The 21,432-nt window shown below is 37.2% G+C and overlaps 1 protein-coding gene across 51 annotated transcripts in view, besides 1 other annotated feature; it reads right to left on the reverse strand.

The window, feature by feature from the left end:
- Positions 1–21,432, reverse strand: part of ANKS1B (ankyrin repeat and sterile alpha motif domain containing 1B) — a 1,250,151-nt gene that overhangs the window by 409,526 nt on the left and 819,193 nt on the right. For 22 of the 51 annotated variants that reach the window (XM_006719514.5, XM_006719507.5, NM_152788.4 and 19 more), the window contains one exon: positions 9,978–10,084. In XM_006719514.5, the coding sequence (XP_006719577.1) occupies positions 9,978–10,084 (107 nt within the window). Of the gene's footprint in view, positions 1–9,977; positions 10,456–10,496; positions 10,619–10,658; positions 10,780–21,432 lie in introns of those variants that run through there. The other 29 variants (NM_020140.4, NM_001352197.2, NM_001352196.2 and 26 more) reach the window with 4 other exon arrangements.
- Positions 10,310–10,809: an enhancer, noted in NCBI's record as "H3K27ac hESC enhancer chr12:99548399-99548898 (GRCh37/hg19 assembly coordinates)". NCBI's record gives its function as "activates a minimal SCP1, AML or CMV promoter by ChIP-STARR-seq in naive H9 embryonic stem cells {active_cell/tissue: H9 hESC(naive)}" and the evidence as "EXISTENCE:reporter gene assay evidence [ECO:0000049][PMID:30033119]".

The following is a 21,432-nucleotide window of genomic DNA, read 5'->3' on the forward strand; positions in this document are numbered from 1 at the left end:
GACAAGTTCCTGGTTCTGGTGTTGCCAGTTCTCATATTAAATAGCAGTGTTATCTGTATATGATTACCCATCTATGAAAAACTCTAAGTTATTAGAAAGATTGAATTCATCATTGATGAAAGAGATCCTTCAGGCATCTGGAATCTTATGTAAACCTCACGTAGACTGAGTTTAATTCAATTAAATAACTATTTATTGAATGATCATTATGGACTGTGCTTGGCAATGTGGGGGATAATAAACAAAGGCTACACATATACACACATTTATTGAGAACTGTTATGAGTTGAATTGTGTCACCCCAAATTTATATGTTGGAGTTCTAACCCCTAGTAGATATGTGGATATAGATACACATCCTAGTAGATATAGTAGGATGTGGCCTTATTTGGAGATAGGGTCTTTACAGACATAATCAAGTTAAAATGAGGTCATTAGGGTGGGCCCTAATCAAATATGACTGGTGCATATTCGACATGCACAGAGGAAGAGATTTGAAACACAAGGAGAAGGTGACCAAGGAGATAGGTCCAGAATGGCTCCTTCCCTTATAGCCCTCAGAGGAACCAACCCTGCTGGCACTTTGGTCTCAGACTTCTGGCCTCCAGAACTGTGAGACAATAAATTTCTCTTGTTTCAGCCACCTAGTTTGTGGTTCTTTGTTGTGGCAGCCATAGCAAACTGATATGAAGACCTACTATGTGCTAGTAACTGGGAAACTAACACTGAACAGGGCACTGTTATTTGTTTCAGGGGAAGAAGTTTGGAAAAGAAGCAGATACTTCAGTCCCATGTAATAAACCTGCTCCAAGAGAAGTATGTACAAGGTGTCATGGGAGGACAGTGAAGGACAGTTGAGTATTACCAAAGGCTTGTTTAAGGCTCCTCAGCAGGGACTTCTAAGCCAGGCCTTTGAAGTAAGAGTGCAAGAATGAGTGCAAGAAGCAAGAGTTCTGGGCAGAAAACAGTGTTTATATGAGGCAGTGTATGCAAAGGCACAGATATCTGAGCAGGTGTGGCACTGTTGTAGAACTGTAAGTAATCCAACATGGCCAGAGCTTAAGAGCAGTGAAAGATAAGGCTGGAGAGGTGAGCAAGTTCCAGGTCAGTAGCGGAAGGCTCCCTGGAGCAAGGGGAGCACCTAGAACCTTGAGGTAGGTCTTCCTTGATTAGCAATCGCGAGGACATAGGCTATGTTAGGTAGGAGGGAAACTGTAAACAAAAGTGAATGCGTATATTTATTTGGCAGTGAGCATTCTGGTCTGGTTAAAGCAGACATCCTCTTGACAAGCAGAGCAAGCAAGTGAGAAGCTAAGAGGTAAGATAAAGTCTCTCAAAGGACCAGAAGTATGACAAACGGAGTGCTTTGAGGGCAGGGCTAGTATCTTGTTTAGTGCTTGCAGTATAGCAGTGGCTCAAGAAACAATCACTGAATAAGTGAAGGGAGAAGTGGTGAAATTCTGTCCTTTTACTGAATTAAGCAGGGACTTTTAGGTTACAGAGGTTTGGTTTTGAAATCTAGGCTCTGCTGGCAATTTTTTTAACCTTGTTGAGTTTCATCCTCTTTATTTCTAATTGTGAGTATACTAATATTGACCGTATTGGTGAGAATTATATGGGATAATTTATATGGAACTATATAGAATTATGGGTATACTAATACTTAGCATGGGATAATTTATATGGAATTTTATAGAATATATGGAACTATATAGAATTATATGAAACTATATAGAATTATGGGTATACTAATGCTTACAGTATATGGTGAGAATTATATGGGATAATTTACATGGAAATATATAGAACTTAAAAATTCCATTTGATCAATATTTATTAAGAAGCTACTATATGCCAAGCCCTGTGGTAGGCTTTAGGACTAGAAAGATGAACAAGACCCAATCTCTGCCTCTAAGGAATTTACTTTCTGTTAGGGGGATGGGGAAGCAGACATCTGAATAGATAAAAGAACTGTGATGCAATAGAATAAGGACTAGCTTAGGGCTAAGAACAGAGCACCGTGGGTGCACAGAGGAGGGACAGTTACGCCAGCCAGACGGCAGGATAGTGTTGGGGAATACTTCCTGGGGGAAGTGATGCTTAAGCTGATTCATGAACAATGATACGCAATTAGGTGAAGAAGGAAGAAAAAGGAATTCCAAACAGAGGGAACAACAGGCTTCCTTTGCAGCTGTGTTTTTCTAGTTCCTGTGCCTGTGCAATTCCTTGCTGAAAATATACTCTAGTCGGCTTGGTTAAAGCAAAAACACCCTCTCTAGCTCTCGTCAGACTCCTGAAGGTTGGATCGTGCTCTGAACAGCCTCAGCTATTGGCTGGCTTCTCTTTAAACTAAACAGGCCTTCAGAAACCCTTCATGTAGCCACCTGCCTGATCTCCTCACTCCCTTTCTCCTGCTTTCTTTCTTTTCTTCCTGTCCTTCCTCGGTATCTGCTTTCTTCCTCCTCTCATTAAACATTTCCTATGTCTACATGTGTAAACTATGGGCTGTGCCTGGAGATACAGGGGATAAAAGCATACATCTAACTCATGAGGAGCTCGAAACTGAAAGTAGGGTCAGCGAGCTATGGCCCATTGACCAGATCCGCCTGTTTTTGTAAATAAAGTTTTATTGGAACATGCCCACGCCCATTTATCTATGTACTGGCTATGGCTGCTTTCATGCTACAATAGCTGTGTTGTGTAGTTGCAATAGAGACCATGTGGCTTGCAAAGCCTAAAATATTTACCATCTGGCCCTTTACAGAAAAAGTTTGCTGGCCCCTGTTCTAGTGTTTATATATGGCAGAAGTGGTGGGGATAGATGGACAAGTAAAGAGGTAATGTACCCCTGTAAGATAAGTTTTTCAAAAGGGTACTATAGAAGGAGAGTTCCTAACCCATACTTGGAGATTGAGAAAAGAACTGAGAGCTAAAAAAAGTGACAAGTACGCTTAGAGCTAAAGGATAAAAAGGAGTTAAGAGGGAAAGGAAGATCATTCTTGGCAGAGACAGTAGCATGTGCAAAGCCAGGCAATGAAAGAAAAACATGCAGTTCTCTATTGCAAAAAGAGGAAGCGGTGAAAGATAAGGCAGGAAAATCAGTTTGGGCCAGGTCATTAAGGATCCTAAATATGAAAACCATATTAAGGATTTTAGAAATGCCCTATAATCTCTCCCATAGGTAACTGAGAACCTTTGAAGGATTTTAAGCAGAGTAGTGCTAAAGCAAATGTGTGCTCTAGAAAGATCACTCTGGCTGTAGGATAGTTAACATTTACTGGGCATTTATTCTATGCCAGGTCTGTGCTAAACGCTCTTTGCATTTGGAAATATCTATTGAGTAGCTGGACAGCACTGGGAACCAGGTAGAAAGAGGTGAAACATGGAGAACAGATATGGATCTATGAGAACCAGGGATCTCCCTAAGGGATGAAAAGGTGTAGAGCACCACCCTTATTTGGAGGCATGAGGAGAAGTAGAAGAACAGGGGTGATTGCAAAGGGGAGTATACTGTCATGGAACACAAACGGGGAGTAAATAACAAGGAGGAGTGGATAGTGAAAATCAGATATTGTAAAGAGAGCTAAGAGAAGAAAAGTGGAAGAACAAGCAGGGGGCAGGGAACTGGTAAGAAGCAGATCAGAGCTGACTTAAAAGAGAGCAATTTCAGCAGAAAAGTTGAGAAACAAGCTGGATTATAGGGTTAAGGAAGTGGTTGGAAGTGAGAAAATGGAGGTCACTGCCACTGAACACTTGTTTGAGAGATTTGTCTTTTTAAAGAAGAGTAGAAATATGACTGTGGCTGGATTTCTTAAAATTAGGCTGTAATTCAGCAGCTTTGGTAACTTTTCTGATTCATGAGGTAAATTTCTCATCTCAAATATCTGGTCATTTGAAGTAATACTGGAGATCAAATTACGCAAATATGCTGCATGACTAAATTAAAGGCCTATTCATGTGAGCATTAGTTAGTAATGGGAGTTGTATTATATACTGCATTATTAGAAAATGGGGCAGCATATTTTAATGCTTAAAAATTTAATCAGAGCAACTTCCAGAAGGAGGAAAAGGCTCCTTTTTAACACAAGATTTGAATCATGGCAATTTTTTTTTTTTTCTGAAAGCCATTCTTCTAAGATGGTCATCCCTGCACATGCCCTCATTTCTGACTTTCTGCTGCACAAGCAATCAGTATTCGTGCAAGGCTAATGGGATATACAAGAACAATTAGTAGCTCTGCCAGCGCCAATATTGTACTTGCCTCTTTAAAGAGCTCAAAATATTAAATAACAATTGGAAAGAACATTTCTTCTAGACTACTCATTAGATTGATTTTACAGATGAGTAAACTGAATCATAGAGAAACAAGATAGTGGAAATGAGAAGTCTTACTTTGGTTCTATCTCACACCACTGTAAGGCTGTGCCTATTATATCTGTAATTAAGCTGTTGTCCAGATAAACAATAATTCCTGCTTGGCTTTGACTTTTAGATACCAACAGATATTTAAATGCCGGCAGTTGAAAAGGTTATTTTTTTTTCTTTCAAAAGTGGGTTTGTAACTATTGGCTTAAATTATTTTAGAAAACTATAGCTGTACTTTCAACATAAGGCCACCCACTCAACTCTGAGCCTAGACTGTTTGAGAAATAAGAAGGTATAGGAAATTTGGCAGGTATTTTTCTCTTGTATCTTTAAATCTCAGTAAGTTCACAAAATTTTCCTAACCAATATTGGAACAAGAAATTATCACGGGGGGAGGGGGGTGACTAATCTCACCTTTTAAGGACAATTAATTTTTCTACTTCACAAGTTTAACTTCTTATTTGGATCACAATATGCTACTAAGATACTTAAAAGGTCATTTTTTCAGGCCAACTGCAAATGATGTTTTCATTATAGAAAAGTTATGTAAAAGTGGAAAAGAGATGTAAGTCCATTAACGTGTAAAATGCACCATAGCAATGGGAAAAAAGTTTTAATGAAATACGTATGAGCTCTATCATGCGCAAATGTTTTGTTGAAATGGATGACTCCAAGAGCTCTGTGGTTCCACTTCAGTGTCTAATAGGCACTACTCACTTTAACCTTCAGCAAGCCCTTTATGAATGCTATCCACCCAAGTGTATGAAAATGCCAATTCATGTAGGGCTATCAGTATTATTGTTATTTCTTATTCTGTAAAGGCTGCATTTTGAACATTTTAATAAGGGTCAAAGCATTCCAAGTCAATCTAGATGGCAATTGTTAGAAATGCAGGAGGTGCTTTAAAAAATGAGTTGGTAATAATTTCATTCTTCTCCCATTTTGATTAGTTTATAAATATAACTGTCAGCTAGTTATCATGGTGAGGTTATTGGTCAGTCCTCCTCCAAGTAATATAAACTCCTTAATACAGTCTTCAGACTATGAATCTACCATAACATTGCCAGTGTTTTGATATCATCAGTATCTTCATCTTCCTTTATTTCAAGCTATGATAGATTTTACCTCTTCTATTATCTACTGTAATTTGCTGCTGACACACCAATTGCTAGTAAATACATATGTTGAGCGATGGTGATTATGTGAAGAATGAGGGGCAAGATCCCTGTGGTGTAGTGTGTGTGCACCCATGTGTGCATGAAGAAACGTGTGTATGTGTGATGTGCATGCAAATAATATAGGTCTGAGGGAAATACTGTACTCCCCTTGAAGGTAAGGGTCATGTCTTATTCACTGTTACATCCCTAGTACTTAACACTGTCTCTGGCACAGAAATGATATCTAAGGAGTGCTTGCTGCATGAATGAGTGAAGGGTACTAATGGTCCATGTTCCCATTGGCAAAATAAGGCTTCCAGTTTAAAAATGAGACTGGAGGTCCACCTACAACAATCTGTTGTGCTTTCAGTTTTTACAGGCTGATTTCTACGCACACAGCATTATGCTGGGACTTGTGAGGAAAGCAAGGAAACTGAATACACAGAACTTGGACTTGAGAAGCTTTCAGTCTAATTGGGGAGACAAGATACATACAAGTGAAAACTTAACTCCTAATTCTAGAGAGAGAATCATGGCATGCCAAATGTATTTTTTTCATGTCAAATGTAACCACTGCGTGAGTTCAGGAGAAAAGAGCCTGTTCTGTACTGCAGCCATTAAAGAAAGCTACCTAAACTAGGCAAGAATTGAGTTATACCTTTGAGGATAAAAGACAGCAGGGAAGGAAAGGAAATGTCTGTCCAGGAGGAGCGGGTAGAGAATACAGATGAGCAAAGTTATTAAGATAAGAATAGATTCTTTGGGACTTAAAATTTAGGAAGCAGTCATTAGACTTTGAAAAATAAATATGATGGTAGAGACAAATATAACAAGGAAATAAATAAGCATGCACATTTTGTATAGTAATCACTTCATACCTAAACTCCTTGGTGAAAAAAAATGTCGAAACTTAGACACATTCTCTATGTTGCAAACTCAGGGGAAGTGAGTGAAATGTCAGAAGGCATGGCAGCATTCCCAGAGGTTAGTGAGTATCAGGTAGGCTTTGCCAAGCAGGAGGGAGGTGATGATATTTGACTTCTGAGGGGATAAACAGGTAAGGTGGGATCTGGGCAGATTTTCAGACAAAAGATTCTGTTGTGAAGGGGCTTCTGGTTTTAACATAGATGTGACTCTCCTTAAGTCTTAGGTGACCTGATGTACTTCTGAAACTATTCATTGATTGTACAAATTTCTATTTATTTTACATTTTTAAGGGCACAGAAGGATCTAAACTATGTGCACAACTATTCTACAAACCAAACTGAAAATCAAAATGAAATACACAAAGGAAAAGTTGTTTGAAATTTTGTCTTTAAGATACAGGGAAAAAATCACACATCAGTAAAATCAAGGATAAATATCAGCCTGAAGGAGGAGCAATAATTGACAAATATTTAAAAACAATTGGGGGCCAGGTGTGGTGGCTCATGCCTGTAATCTCAGCACTTTGGGAGGCCAAGGCAGGCGGATCATTTAAGATCAGGAGTTCTAGACCAGCCTGGTCGACATGGTGAAACCCTGTCTCTACTAAAATTACAAAAATTAGCCGGGTGTGGTGGTGCACACCTGTAATCCCAGCTACTTGGGAGGCTGAAGCAGGAGAATCGCTTGAACTGGAAAGATGGAGGCTGCAGGGGGCTGAGATCACACCACTGCATTCCAGCCTGGGTAACAAAGTGAGACTCCCACTCAAAAAAAAAAAAAACCAAAAACAAAAAACAACTGGGGTCTTTCTTTTCTAACCATATCTAGACATTGGTGAAAATAGTCCTTATTAAAGATAATAATAGCTATGGAGATAAATCATCCAAGTGTTGCATTTATGTGTGAGAGTATGTATGTAGAACAGATTTAGCAAATAATTTTTAAAGCTTTCAATAAATACTTTAAGTGACTTATATGGACACTTTAAATGCACATTCATTAATGGATTCTTGATTGAATAAAAAATTAACTCCTGAAAATATTTCCTAAATAAAGTACATCTATGCATGGATGCACTATGATGTTTCAACCAACATTAATTATACCCTTTTGATTTCTACTGTCTTGTTCAAAAACACTAATAAGACATGCACTACATCATAGTTAATAGGAGTGTGGTGCTTGTTGCTTAGGCAACAGGAGGAATAAATGCAGGTCAGAATGTGCTTCAAGAAAAACAAAAGCTAGAATATGATACTGAGTGGAGACTAAGCAAGTCTAACAGATTTTTCACCACATTAAAGAAATATGTTTCTTAGAGCAAGCCAATCATATTCATGTGTTTAACTAAGTTTGCAATTACATAAATTAGATTATGTAGATCAATAAATAATTTTTATAAAGGTAGAAATTAATCGCTTATGATACTAGTAGCAAATAAATGGTGTATAACAGCATGTAAAGCACTAATTGATTATACCACTTCATGATTTGCTTCATTTTCATAATTAATTAACTCCTCTAAATGGCAATTCAAAGTTTTTTTAAAAGATAATTCTGTCTCATGAAGAAAGTATTTGATTGGCCCATCTAAGTTAATAATATTTTCTTATTTTCTAGAAAATTATACCAAATACTTTGAATTAAACAAGTAAAGAATATAATCTATGATTAGACCTTGGTTACATCATGTATATCCAGGATTTTGCCTTCCATATAAATTTTGAAGTGCTTATACATGATTCATTCATGAATAATTTTTACGATCTCTCTTTGAATGCTTATTTGAAACCTGTTTGATTAACCTTTCAGTTCGAGGCTTTCAAAAAGGTATTATATTTGCTCATAAGTGTTTAACATTCAGAGGAAAAATAAGCTGAATTAAAGTCTTTCAGCTTGGCCAAATGATCCAGGAAATCCAAAGACCTAACTTCTCATGGGACCAGAATAAATTTGGACAAGGGTTTCAGGGTTGGGAATGAGAAACCCTTATTTCAAGTAGACATAGGGAGAAATAATTAAGATATTGAAATGTACAGTAAACATAAATAATAAAAAAAGACTTCAATTCTGTTTGATAGTTCTTCTAATTCTTAATGCCATCTGTTTAGTGTCCTAAGTCTGTCCTAAATCTGCCCAGTGTTCTAAGACTTTCATAGCAATTGAAGAACTTTCACTTTTTTCCATTTCAATACCCAAATATCTTGTCTATATAACCAGTGACAGTACTTGATAAACACAAGAAAAATAACAGTAGCTGCATATATCAGTATAAAAAAACCAACAAATCACTCATAAAGCATTCTGTGCATGCAATTACTTAGAGCTCATATATCTTACTATATTTATGTCTTTTTTATTTTTAAAAACTCTTGGGCATACATACTTTTGGAGAAGGAGCAGAAGTTGAATAATGTTAATAATCTTCAAATCTATAATATTCAAGTCAACCTCAGAGAAAAATAATCTAAGATAGAAATTAAAAAATCTAATCAGCTGTCACTATTGTGTTATCATTTCTGGTACTAGTAAGCTGCAGGTGTCAGCCCTATTACTGTATTTAGGCAGGGCTATTACTTATTTCCACAAGTCATTTGTGTGTTACATGCCTGTGTTATGTAGGTCTCTCTAAACTTAGGGATCAGTGATATGTGTGATGGGTACTTAAAAGCAAGGAAAGGTAATAGAGCTGTGACGTAGCTTAACAAGGGGAACTGATGAGCACTGGGGGAGGTATGGGAATGATTAGAAAGCTGAATTGTCGGTTTGCACAGTTCCCCATCCTCCTTCCTCACCTATATGCAAAACGGTGGAAAGTTAGCACATGCCAGGTTTAGATTGCATGTAGACCAGAATTCAGAAGTACATGACTATACTTACTCCACCAACCTTTCTTTCTAAATATTGACAGCTAAATGACCAAAGTGTTTATTTTCCACCTAAAGTAATAAACAATACTTCATCGCTCTTCAATCAGCAAGTGGAAGTAAACGCTCTCCATAATTGACCATCTGAAGCAGTTTGCTAATGAACTGAAGGTTGTCCACATGATTTAAACTGCTTATTGAACAATTATCAGGAAAAGAAATGATCTTCACACCATAAACACAACAAATTGTCTCATTAACCACTAAATGCTGATGCTCAAGTGAAATAATATAAGAATCAAGAATTAGCTGAAGAGTGATATAATCCGAGTATTCTAAGATTACAAATTTATTTAAAAAATCATACCAAGAATGACAGGGAGAATATCAATATTAATCTTCTTTCACTGCCTATAAATAGCACTCTCACCAGTTCATTCATATAACACATATGTATATGGATACATACAGATCTCATTTTTTAGCAAGAGTCTATATGTACACAGCAAGTTCAGTCCTAAGGGCATCCAATTTTCCAATGCAGTTACATATATAAATCTGACCAGTTTTGGTGCAAATCAGGCTGCCTCTGAGCCATGTAAGACACATAAGAAGCAAAGACAGACAAAAGGCAGCTCCGTGGACACAGAGAGCTTCTTACCATAAACTGCACATTGTCAAATCCATTAGCCATCAGGTGGTTCTCGTACTGAGGTAGCCCAATGCTTTCCAACCATTGTCCCACTGTTTGGACAGGGCATCTGGGTCCTGTAAGAGGATGAAGAGGGAAGCGTTTAAGCAGGGAGTAGCCGTCCACGGGGTAATAGCGGTAGTCCTGGGCTGAGAGGTGGCATTGCCACATCATGCCCCTGGGAAAGTTGCTATCAAAGGAGCCCGCCAGCTTGACAGATTAATGTTCTCAGCGAGAGAGCAAAGTCAGAAGTAAAACATAGTTTGCCAGGCAGGCTGTGGAGTATGACTTGATCCTAGCTCCACATTTCTTACATATTAATCTTTACTACCGACCAGTACGTCATACAGCCCCCAAAACCAGGCAGCAGAAGAAGGCATATCAAGCTGTCAGCTTGGGCTGGTCTGCGTTCTATGTGATTGTTGGAGTACTCCACAATGAGCAATGCACGGCCGGCAGCCAGAATTCTTTTTTATCAAGTACTCCTACACTCATCAGTATGCAGCTCCATGCTCCTTGCTCCCCCTCGCTCGCTCCCCTTCATTACCCAGCCCAGGCTACACCTCGCATTTTCAATAATAGCCATCAGATAAGGCAGATTTTTTTTGTCTGCAAGCTGTAAGCCTGCTGCTGCTGCTTCCTCCTACACACCCATCCAAGCGTCAATCTTGAATGATGAGAGCAGTCAAAACAAATGCAGAAAATAGCAAGATTCAAAAGCAAACCAAAGTGCTTAAATCTGAATTGAATCTTCATACTGGTTATACGTTACAGAGCTATTTGTTGTGGAATTTTACGTTTCAAAAGACACCAGGAAATGCGAAGCTTGAACTATAGCTTATAACAGAGCTCACGACAGGTTCCCTTTCTCCTTTTCCTTTCTTTCCTGTCTTTTCTTCTTCCTTTTTAAATGGAGCACAGATAAACGTTTCTGATCTGAAGCTTTGCAGTGTTTGGAGAATAATTATTCTGTTTCTTTACCATGCTATAGCAAAATAAGCCTCTCCGAGATATATATTTTTTTCTTTTTTGAAATACTGCAAAATACAGAAACTGCATCGCAATCTTGAAGTCAAGATAATTTATTTCTTGTTTGCATGGTTTCTTCCAAACAAAAGTATTATTAGGCACAAGAAATCCTTTTTCCCCTCTGATATTTATAACCCAATCTACCAGGGTTACCATTCTAAATTAGCTATAAAGGTAACATTAACTGGATAGATTTTTTTTTTAATAAAGAAGATGAGCCCTAACCCAAAATAATTCAAGAATAACAGATGTAAATGTGTGAGTTTTACTGAATGGCAGATAGACTGAGTAATTTATTTAATAATTGGGAGAAACCAGGGATTAAGAATAGAACCCACAGGACTAGATCATCAGAAGAAACAGACTCTTAAGATTGGGAGAGAACTTGCAGAAAGGTTAGTCTAACCTTCTTCCTAACGTAGGCATCCCTGGCTAAAATGTTCCTAGAGGAATATCTTCCAACTTCTACTTGAATACTGCCTGTAACAGAGCTCTTACTACTTCTCACGAAGCCTCAATTTATTAGAAAGATATTTCACTTCCTACCTTGCTTCTACTCACTGCTCCAGCTCTGCCTTCGGAGAAGCACAGATTGAGAACAGTGCCTCTTCCACATAAAGAGCTTTAAAATTTAAAGATAACTCTCTCATCCCCCCAGAGCAGCCGCCTGGCACATAGTAAGTGCCTAATACAAATTTATTGAATAAATGAAACATCGCTTTTCTTTTTTCCTCAAACCTCATCTTTCTCTGTTTCCTTTCTCTTTTTAAGGGCATTGTCAACTTTCCTGGCACACAGACATTAAACCTCAAAACATCTTCTACTCCTCTTTCACTACTGAAATCAGTCCCCAAATTCTATCATCCCTCTTCCCAGTGTGATCCATTCCCTTGATTCTATTTCCTGTTTTAAGTTTACAGAACTGCCACCTACATTGATTTTGTTCTCATAGTTCAGGCCCACCTAGCCTAGTGAAACAACGACTTCTATATTGATCTTTCTACCTCTAATATTTAAAAAATCAATTTTATGCATGGTGTCAGAATAATCCCTTTAAGACACAGTTTTGATTACTACTCCCTGTCTCAAAACCCTTCTGTGGTTTTCTGTTGTCTTCAAAATCAACTCCCAACTCCTCTGATGACATTTTGGGGTCTTCATGATTGACTGCAGTTCATCTAACTTTATTTCCACTTTTCCACTGCCCCAGACAGGCAGGATTACTTGCTGGTCTCTAAAGGCAGCCCATAATGGGCTTTGGTTGGTTTTATTATGTCCCCACATTTCTGTCCATTTGTTGGCTTTGAATCAGTTGCTATTTCCATTATGAAACCTCTTCTAATCTTCTCTACCACGAATAAATCTCTTTCTTCTCTGTCTTAAATGGCATTTTTAGACCCTCTATTGTAACAGATATTTTCTGCCTTCAATTTTAGTTGTTTGTGTCTGACTTATTTTTTGAAAGCAGGCAATATGCTTTGCTAATATTTCACATAGTAAAGATTCAGTACATACCTGCTAAACAAAATAATGTAATTTCATGATCCAAAGTACAAAAAATTCTATTTTCAAATTTAAAAAAAGTTTTAACTCTATCCCAAGTCTCTAAATTATTTATTTAAAATAAGATAACTTGTTTTTTAAACAGATTTTTTCATGTCTGTCTTTTAGCTCATCATCCTCATCCACTTTTTGAATAAGCAGCCCTGGGTGGACTGCATAGTACTTGATTATATTTTGTTGCTGATTGGTCCTGGATCTTTTAATAACATCAAAGAGTTTGTAGTAGTTTATGAATCAATTTTAATAGATTCTAGTTGCTCAACATTACCTATAGGAGAAGCTAAAAACAAGATACTATTTGTCCCTGGCCAGCTCTAAAGCTGTTACAAGGTGGAAGAAAAGGAAAGTCTCAATTATAGCTTCTCCTAGGATCACAGCCACAGTGCTTCACCTGGTCATTTTGAATTATAAATAGTTGAATATACTACATGGAAATTGAGCAAACACGACAATGACACTTTGGCTTGGCAAGGCACATGCTGATTGGCCAGCTCTTCAAACCTGTTTCATCTGTTAAAATGCAAACCAGGGGCCAAGTACCTGGCAGAGCACGATACACATCCTGCTTATTAAATAAACTTTGTTAAATAAATGCCTGAGTAACTAAATGAATAAATGATATTGGAAATGCCTTTCTTGAGATTCTCATTTCTTAGTACAGAGAGAGGGAAAGAGGGAGAGGGAAGAAAAAATGTGTGTGTGCACAAAACATAGAGAGTGGACTAATAGACACTGGAGACTCAGAAAGGGGGAGGGTGGGAGAAGAGTGAGGGATGGGAGATTACATAATGGGTACAGTGTACACTATTTGGGTGGTGGGTACACTAAAAGCCCAGACCTCACCACTTTGGATATATCCATGTAACAAATCTGCACTTGTACCTCTTAGAGCAATAAAAATAAATAAAATTATATATTACAAAAGACAGTATATTTGTGGTGGGGATTATTTCAAGGTTCAGACTGCTATATAAGAACACAACTCAGAGAAAATACTGGTTATGAACTACTTTACAAAATTTATATAGACTGCCTGAATTTTATTCTTTTAGGTATTCAATCCTTCAATTTTTATTCAATAATTTTTACATGTTGACAAAATGTTATAATATATGGAGGAAGTGAGCTGGGAGAGGATGGGGTGAGGAAGGTATAAAAGAGAGGGAAGAAGGAAAAAAAAGAAGACCCTGAGTCATGTTGTTTGTTTGCGGTTTTGTTGAAGTATTTTCTCATGAGTCAAATCTCTAAAAGAATCTTGGTTCAGGTCTGAAGATCACTCTGTAACAGTGCTTAAATATATTACTCTCTTTACCTAAAATACTTTTATGGAGTCTTAAAATTCTTAAAGCATAACAACACACTAATTAGGCAGGAACTTTTATTCAACTAGAATGTCTTTAAGTTCCAAAAGTGAGACAAGAGGAGGGAAAGAAGAAACTGACCATTATTCTGGGCTACCATGTCCTAGGCAGTGTGGTGTGAATTATTATCCTGATTTACCGTAAGGAAACTGAAGCTCAGAGTATGTGGTGAAAACAGGAATTTTCTTTGTCATAGTCTTTTAAAAAATAATAATTCTAGGGGTTTTACTCCCATAATGGCAGTGTGAGGAGCTCCACAGGTCCAAGCCCCAGTCAAAAAACTTAACTTGAAAATTATAAACAAACAATCAAAAAACCCTACACAATCAGAAACCAAAAACAATGCCAACAAAAACCAACCATCAAAGTCTTTGCAAAGTGTCCTAAGAGCATATAATGTAAAAATGTTTATTCCAAAGACAGACACTAAAACTTGGTAAAAACAGATTCTGAGATTCTGTAGCACTTGAGCCATAGCTCCCTCTGGCCCCTCCTTCCCTGCAACTCATCTCCATAGATGCTCCACTTTGGATGGATGTGTCCAAGAGAAAGGGCTCCCCTTCTCCTCAAATCCCAACCAAGCGGCATGGGATCTCATCAAAAGGAGCAGGCCAGCATTTCCAATTTCCTCTAAATCTAAGCTGTAGAGGTTCAATTCCTGGTGAGTGTGGCTGAGAGGTCAGGGGCTCCTTTCTTCCACCCAGACCCCATTCATAGAATAGAAAGTTCATCCCAGCTGGGTCAGGCCAAAAATACTGGGATCTTCACTGCCCTCGACTGCTTACATATAGGGTAGAGGTTCCATGCCCAGAAAGGTAAACTAGGAAGACCAGAGGCTATCATTCTTGCCCCATGCCTGGAAGAGTGGCTCAACGATTTTGCTTAAAGGGAGAGTCAGTTTATAAGAACAAAAAGCTCTAAAGCTTTCCCCCAAGAGGTTGACTTATTTGTTTGTTTTCAATTTTTGTTTTGGATTTAGGGAGTATATGTTCAGGTTTGCCACGTGCGTATATTGTGTGATGTTAAGGTTTGGGGCATGAATGATCCCGTCACCAGGTACTCAGCACAGTACCCAATAGTTAGTTTTTCATACATTGTCCCCCTCCATCCTTCCCTACTCCAGTAGTCCCCACTTTCTATTGATGTCTTCTTCATGCCCATGAATACCCAATATTTAGCTCCCACTTATAAGTGAGAACATACAGTACTTGGTTTTCTGTTCCTGCATTAATTTCCTTAGAATAATGGTCTCCAGCTGCATCTATGTTGCTGCAAAGGATATAATTTTTTTTCTTTTTTTATGGATGCATAGTATTCAATGGTATATATGTACCATGTTTTCTTTACCCAATTCACCATTGATGAGTACTCAGGTTGATGCCGTGTCTTTGTTATTGTGAATAGTGCTGCGATGAACATATGAGCACAGATACCTTTTTGGTAGAATGATTTATTTTCTTTTGGATATAGACCCAGTAATGGGACTGCTGGGTCAAATGGTAGTTTGTTTTAAGTTCTTTGAGAAATCTCCAAACTGCTTTCCACAGAGTCTGAACTAAGTGACATTCCCATCAACAGTGTATAAGTGTCCCTTTCTTCTGTAGCCTCACCAGCAGCTATTATTATGCCTCTTAGTAATAGCCATTCTGACTGGTGAGAAATGGTATCTCATTGTGGTTTTGATTTGCACTTCTCCGATGATCAGTGACGTTAAGCATTGTTTCGTATGTTTGTTGGCCACTTGTATGTCTTCTTTTGCGAAGTGTCTGTTCATGTCTTTTGCCCATTTTTAATGTGGTTATTTATTTTTATTTGTTCAATTGTTTAAGTTCCTTATAGATTCTGGATATTAGATGTTTGTTGGAAGCATAGTTTGTAAATATTTTCTCCCATTCTGTAGGTTATCTTTTTACTCTGTTGATAATTTCTTTTGCTGTGCAGAAGCTCTTTAATTTAATTAGGTCCCACTTATCAATTTTTGTTTTTGTTGCAATTGCTTTTGAGGATTTAGTCATAAATTCTTCCCTAAGGCTGATGTCCAGAATGGTGTTTTCTAGGTTTTCTTCTAGGATTCTTTTTTTTTTTGAGATGGAGTCTTGCTCTGTCACCCACGCTGGAGTGCAGTGGTGCTATCTCAGCTCACTGCAATCTCCGCCTCCTGGGTTCATGCCATTCTCCTACCTCAGCCTCCCGAGTAGCTGGAACTACAGGCACCCACCACCACACCAGGCTATTTTTTTTTTTTTTTTTGTATTTTTAGTAGAGATGGGGTTTCACCATGTTAGCCAGGATGGTCTCGATCTCCTGACCTCATGATCTGCCTGCCTCGGCCTCCCAAAGTGCTGGGATTACAGGCATGAGCCACCACGCCCAGCCTCTTCTAGGATTCTTATAGTTTGAGGTCTTACTTTAAATCTTGAATCCATCTTGAGGTAAGTTTTGTATATGGTCAAAGGTAGGGGTCCAGTTTCATTCTTCTGCATATCGCAAGCCAGCTATCCCAGCATAATTTGTTGCATAGGGAGTCCTTTCCTCATTGCTTATTTTTGTTGATTTGTCAAATATCAGGTGGCTGTAGGTGTGCGGCTTTATATCTGGGTCCTCTATTCTCTTCCATAGGTCTATGCATCTGTGTTTGTACCAGTACCATGCTATTTTGTTTATTGTAGCCTTATAGCATAGTTTGAAGTCAGGGAATGCGATGCCTCTGGCTTTGTTCTTTTTGTTTAGGATTGCTTTGGCTATTCAGGATCTTTTTGGTTCAACATGAATTTTAGAAAAGTTTTTTCTAGTTCTGTGAAAATGGTAGTTTGATAGGAATAGCACTGAATCTGTAGATTGCTTTGGGAAGTATGGCCATTTTAACCATATTGATTCTTTCAATCCATGAGCACAGAATGTTTTTCCATTTTTTTGTGAAACTGAGGTTATTTGACACAGAGTGTGCGGAAGTTTAAGCCTAAACGTGTTATCAAAATCAATGGAGGTTACACAGTGGCTCATTCCTGTAATCCCAGCAATTTGGGAGGCTGAGGTGAGAGGATCACTTGAGTTTGAGACCAGCTTGGGCAACATAGCAAGCCCTCTATCTCTACGAACAATTAAAAAGTAGCCAGAGATGATGGCATGTGCCTATCATCCCAGCTACTCGGGAGGCTGAGATGGGAGGACCCCAAGGCTGCAGTGAGCTATGATTGCACCACTGCACTCCATCCTGGGTAACAGAGCAAGACCCTGTCTGTAAAAAAACAAACCAAACCAAAACAAAAAAATCCCCCCCAAAACCCAGTGGAGATATTCTGGTGACAAACAATCAAAAAGTGGCTAATAGCTACAGTAGGGAAATAAGCTAAATGGTAGGTTAGCTAGTTTTAAAGAAACAGAGAAAGACAGTTATGAAGAGCCCTGTTGAGGTCAAAAGAAACTTCAAATACTAGCTTCAAAAATTCCTCCTTCTCAAATTTAATTGGAGCAGACTCTGGAGCAATTTATAGCTGACGGATTGTCAAAAACAATAGAGCAATCAGCAGGCAATTACTGGAGTCTAATATCTGGATGTGATATCAAATGAGATAGACAACAGAAAGATTAGGAAAAGAGACAAAGAGAGCCCTGCTATAACCACTGCCATCCCAAAACTGTGCAGATGGCCAAGGCTACACCCTTGAGAGGATAAATACAACGTGATGCATCCATACTATTGACTATTACTTGACAATAAAAATAAATGAAGTGCTGATATATGCTGCAAATTGCATGAACCTTGAAAACATCATGCCAAGTGAAAAAAAAAAGCTAGTTATAAAAGACCATATATTGTATAATTCTGTTTAAATAAAAGGTCAAGAATAGACAAATCTATAGAGACAGAATGTAGATTAGGGGTTTCCTAGGGCTGGAGAAGTGAACTGTGGAAAGTGACTATTAATGGATTTAGGGTTTCTTTTTAGAGTGACGAAAATGTTTTAAAATTGTGATGATGGTTGCACAACTCTGTGACTACACTAAAAACAACTGAATTGTACCTTTTAAATCAGTTACTTAAATTATATATATGTATTTATATAGTATATCAGTAGATTTAAAATTATTGAATGATGATATAAAATAATAAAAACAAATCTTAAAATTTCTTTAAATTTACAAGAACAAAATGCACATACATAATTGTATATAAAACATTGGGGTTGTTTAATATATATTGGTAGTTTTAGTGCTCTGGGTTTTTTTTCTTCTTTAGTTTTCTTGGTTACCCCTTCCTCCATTCTTGTCCTGCAATCTGCATCATCCATCCTCCCTGCAAGGTTATTCATGTTAATAAACTGGTATGTATATTCATATATATTTACCCATTTTCAAATAACACACACACACACACAAAGGCAGATATGTTCGGATATATACGTATATGGGAGAGTATTTTTGGCATGGTTTCATCAAAATGAAATTATACCACTCACTTTTCTGAACCTTAGTTTGCTCATTTAACATCTTATAAAAATTCTACTGGCCGGGCGTGGTGGCTCACGCCTAATCTCAGCACTCTGGGAGGCCGAGGCAGGTGGATCACAAGGTCAGGAGTTTGAGACCAGCCTGGCCAATATGGTAAAACCTCGTCTCTACTACAAATACAAAAATTAGCCGGACATGGTGGCAGGCACCTGTAGTCCCAGCTACTCTGGAGGCTGAGGGAGAAGAATCACTTGAACCCAGGAGGTGGAGGTTGCAGTGAGCCAAGATTGTGCCACTGCACTCCAGCCTGGGCGACAGAGCGAGACTCTGTCAAAAAAAAAAAAAATTCTACTAAGTAAATGAGTTTTAATTTATTATTTGTTGGTTATTTGTAAAAAGTTAAAATAGTTATTTTTAGTTATTTTCAACTTTTTAAAAATAACTACATAATAGTTCATAATGTGGATAAACCACAGTTTATTCAGTTCTTTGCCTGATATCTCTAGGATATCTTTGCCTGATATACATCCTTTTATTTTCTTTTTTTAAAGATTTTTATTTTGAAATAATTGTCAATTTGCATGAAATGATAGAGAGAGTGATTCTGGATAGATTTTCTTCAGTTTTCTCCAGTTGTGACATCCTGTATGACTTTAGCACAGTATCACAATATCACAGCCAGGTCATTGGCACTGAAAAAAATCCACTGACCCTGTTTATATGTCCTGTGTTTTACATGCACTCTGTGTGTGTGTGTGTGTGTGTGTGTGTGTGTGTGTGTTTAGTTCTGTACAATTTTATCACACGTGCAGACCACGTGGCCATCATCACAGTCGAGACACCGACAGCACCATCATAAGAATCCCTCCTGGAACTTTTTTTTATGGCCATAGCCTTCTTCCTCCCTTTCCCATTTTTTGACCCCTGGCAACTACTGATCTGTGTCCATCTCTATCATTTTATCATTTCAAGAATGTTACATGAATAAAATCATATATTATGTAACATTTTGGAATTGGGATTTTTCATTCAGCAGAATTCCTCTGAAATCCATACAAATTATTCAGTGTGTCAGTAGCTTATTTTTTCATTTCTGAGTAGTATTCCATGATATGGATGTACCGCACCATTTACCCATTCTCTTCCAGAGTGGCTGTACCATTTTACATTCCCATTAATAGTATACAAATGATGCAGTTTCTTTGCATCTTCACTAGCATTTGGTGTTGTCAATTTTTTTATGTAGTCATTCTGATAGGTATGTACTAATATTTCCTTGCGGTTTTAATTTGTATTTCCCTCATGGCTTACTATGTTGAACAAAATCTTATTGCCTGTATCTTTTTGTTAAAACGTCTGTTCATGTCTTTTGCTGTTTTCTTCATTGGATTGTTTTTCTACTGTTGAGTTTTGAGAATTCTTTACATAGTCTAGATACTAGGAATTTGTTGGACTTTTTATCAATTTTTTTATGGATCATGTTTTTGGTGTCTATCCCATTATTTTTAACTTTAAAAAATGAGCATTTAAAAATGTGTCTCATAAATAGCCCAGAGCTGTAATATTTTAATCTGAAGTTTTAAAATACAATCTCTAATGGCTTACATTTTAATGGGCAAATACAATTTGGAGTAATGACAATCATGCTTGATTTTATCCATTCCATCTTATGTTCTTATTTATTTACATTGTTGTTTCCTCATTTTCCTTTTCTTCATTTTTGGTACTCTGGTAACATTCTTATTCATTCTATTTTTCTCTTTTTAACTTTGTGACTCTGAGATACTTCTCTATTCCTTTCAAGGTTACTTTATTTTTCCCTGCTCTAATGATCAGATATATACTTTTCTATGATTATTTGAAAATAAGTTACCAATTATTTCCCTCTCAAAAACGCTCTATATCCTTCATACTCCAGTAAAATTAGACCCTCAGAATGTTTTCCTTTCTTCGTTCTCTTTTTCCTACAACCACATGTGATCTCTGGAATGCTTTTCCTTTACCCATCTGCCTTATTCCCAACCAGTTCCTAGGTTTTGCTGATAATCATTTAGTAAACATTTTCCTAGTCAATTACTAGAATTTCCTCACAGTATATTCCTCCTATTTAAAGAGTCTTTATTTAATATTTATGTTGCACACTCCCAGTTGGTTTATACATTTCAGTTTAGATTTAATTATTGTAAAGATTCATTGGTCACCACTATTTCATATCCTTATAACCATCTTAATCTTGAGGTTTCTGTTTCCATTTGTTTGTAGTTTAGTTAGAATAGTTTCTCATATATTCAGAAAATATTTTAAACTGATTAATCATAAAAGCAGAGTGAATCACAATTTGTGAGATGCAGGTAAAATGGTACTTGGAGATAAATGTATAGCACTAAATGCCTATATTAGACAGGCAGAAATACTCACCACTATACTAGTAAGGAACAATGTCTACCTTAGAAATGACAAGAATTTCAAATCATTTATCTCAGAATTCACTTTAAGAAATGAAAGTAAGAAGAAAGATAACTCCAACAAAAATAAGCAGAAGTAAGGAAATAAAGATCAGAGGGGAAATAAATGAAACAAAAGATCAATAGAGAAAAATCAATGAAACCAAAAGCTGTTTTTTGAGATGATTAGTCCAACTGGTAAATCTCTATTCAGGCTGACCAGGAAGTAAAGGAGAATAAAGAAGTAATCAATACCGGGAATGAGAGAAGTGACAGCAAAAGAGTTTTTATGGATATAAAAAGAATAAAGAAATGTTATGAATAACTGTTAGTATCAGTAAATTCAGCAACTTAGATGAAATGACAAATTCATTAAGAGAAGCAAGGTACCAAACCTCACTCATGAAGAAAAGTTCATAACTGACTAGCTCTCTACCTATTGAAGTAATTGTATTTGCAGTTAAAATCTTTATACAAAACAAAACAAAACTCCAGGCCTCAATGGCTCTAGTGTTAAATTCTACCAAACATATAGTGAAAGAAATAATAGCAATTCTACACAAACTCTTCCAGAAA

The sequence above is a fragment of the Homo sapiens genome, chromosome 12 (assembly GCF_000001405.40).
Source record: "Homo sapiens chromosome 12, GRCh38.p14 Primary Assembly".
NCBI lineage: Eukaryota > Metazoa > Chordata > Mammalia > Primates > Hominidae > Homo > Homo sapiens.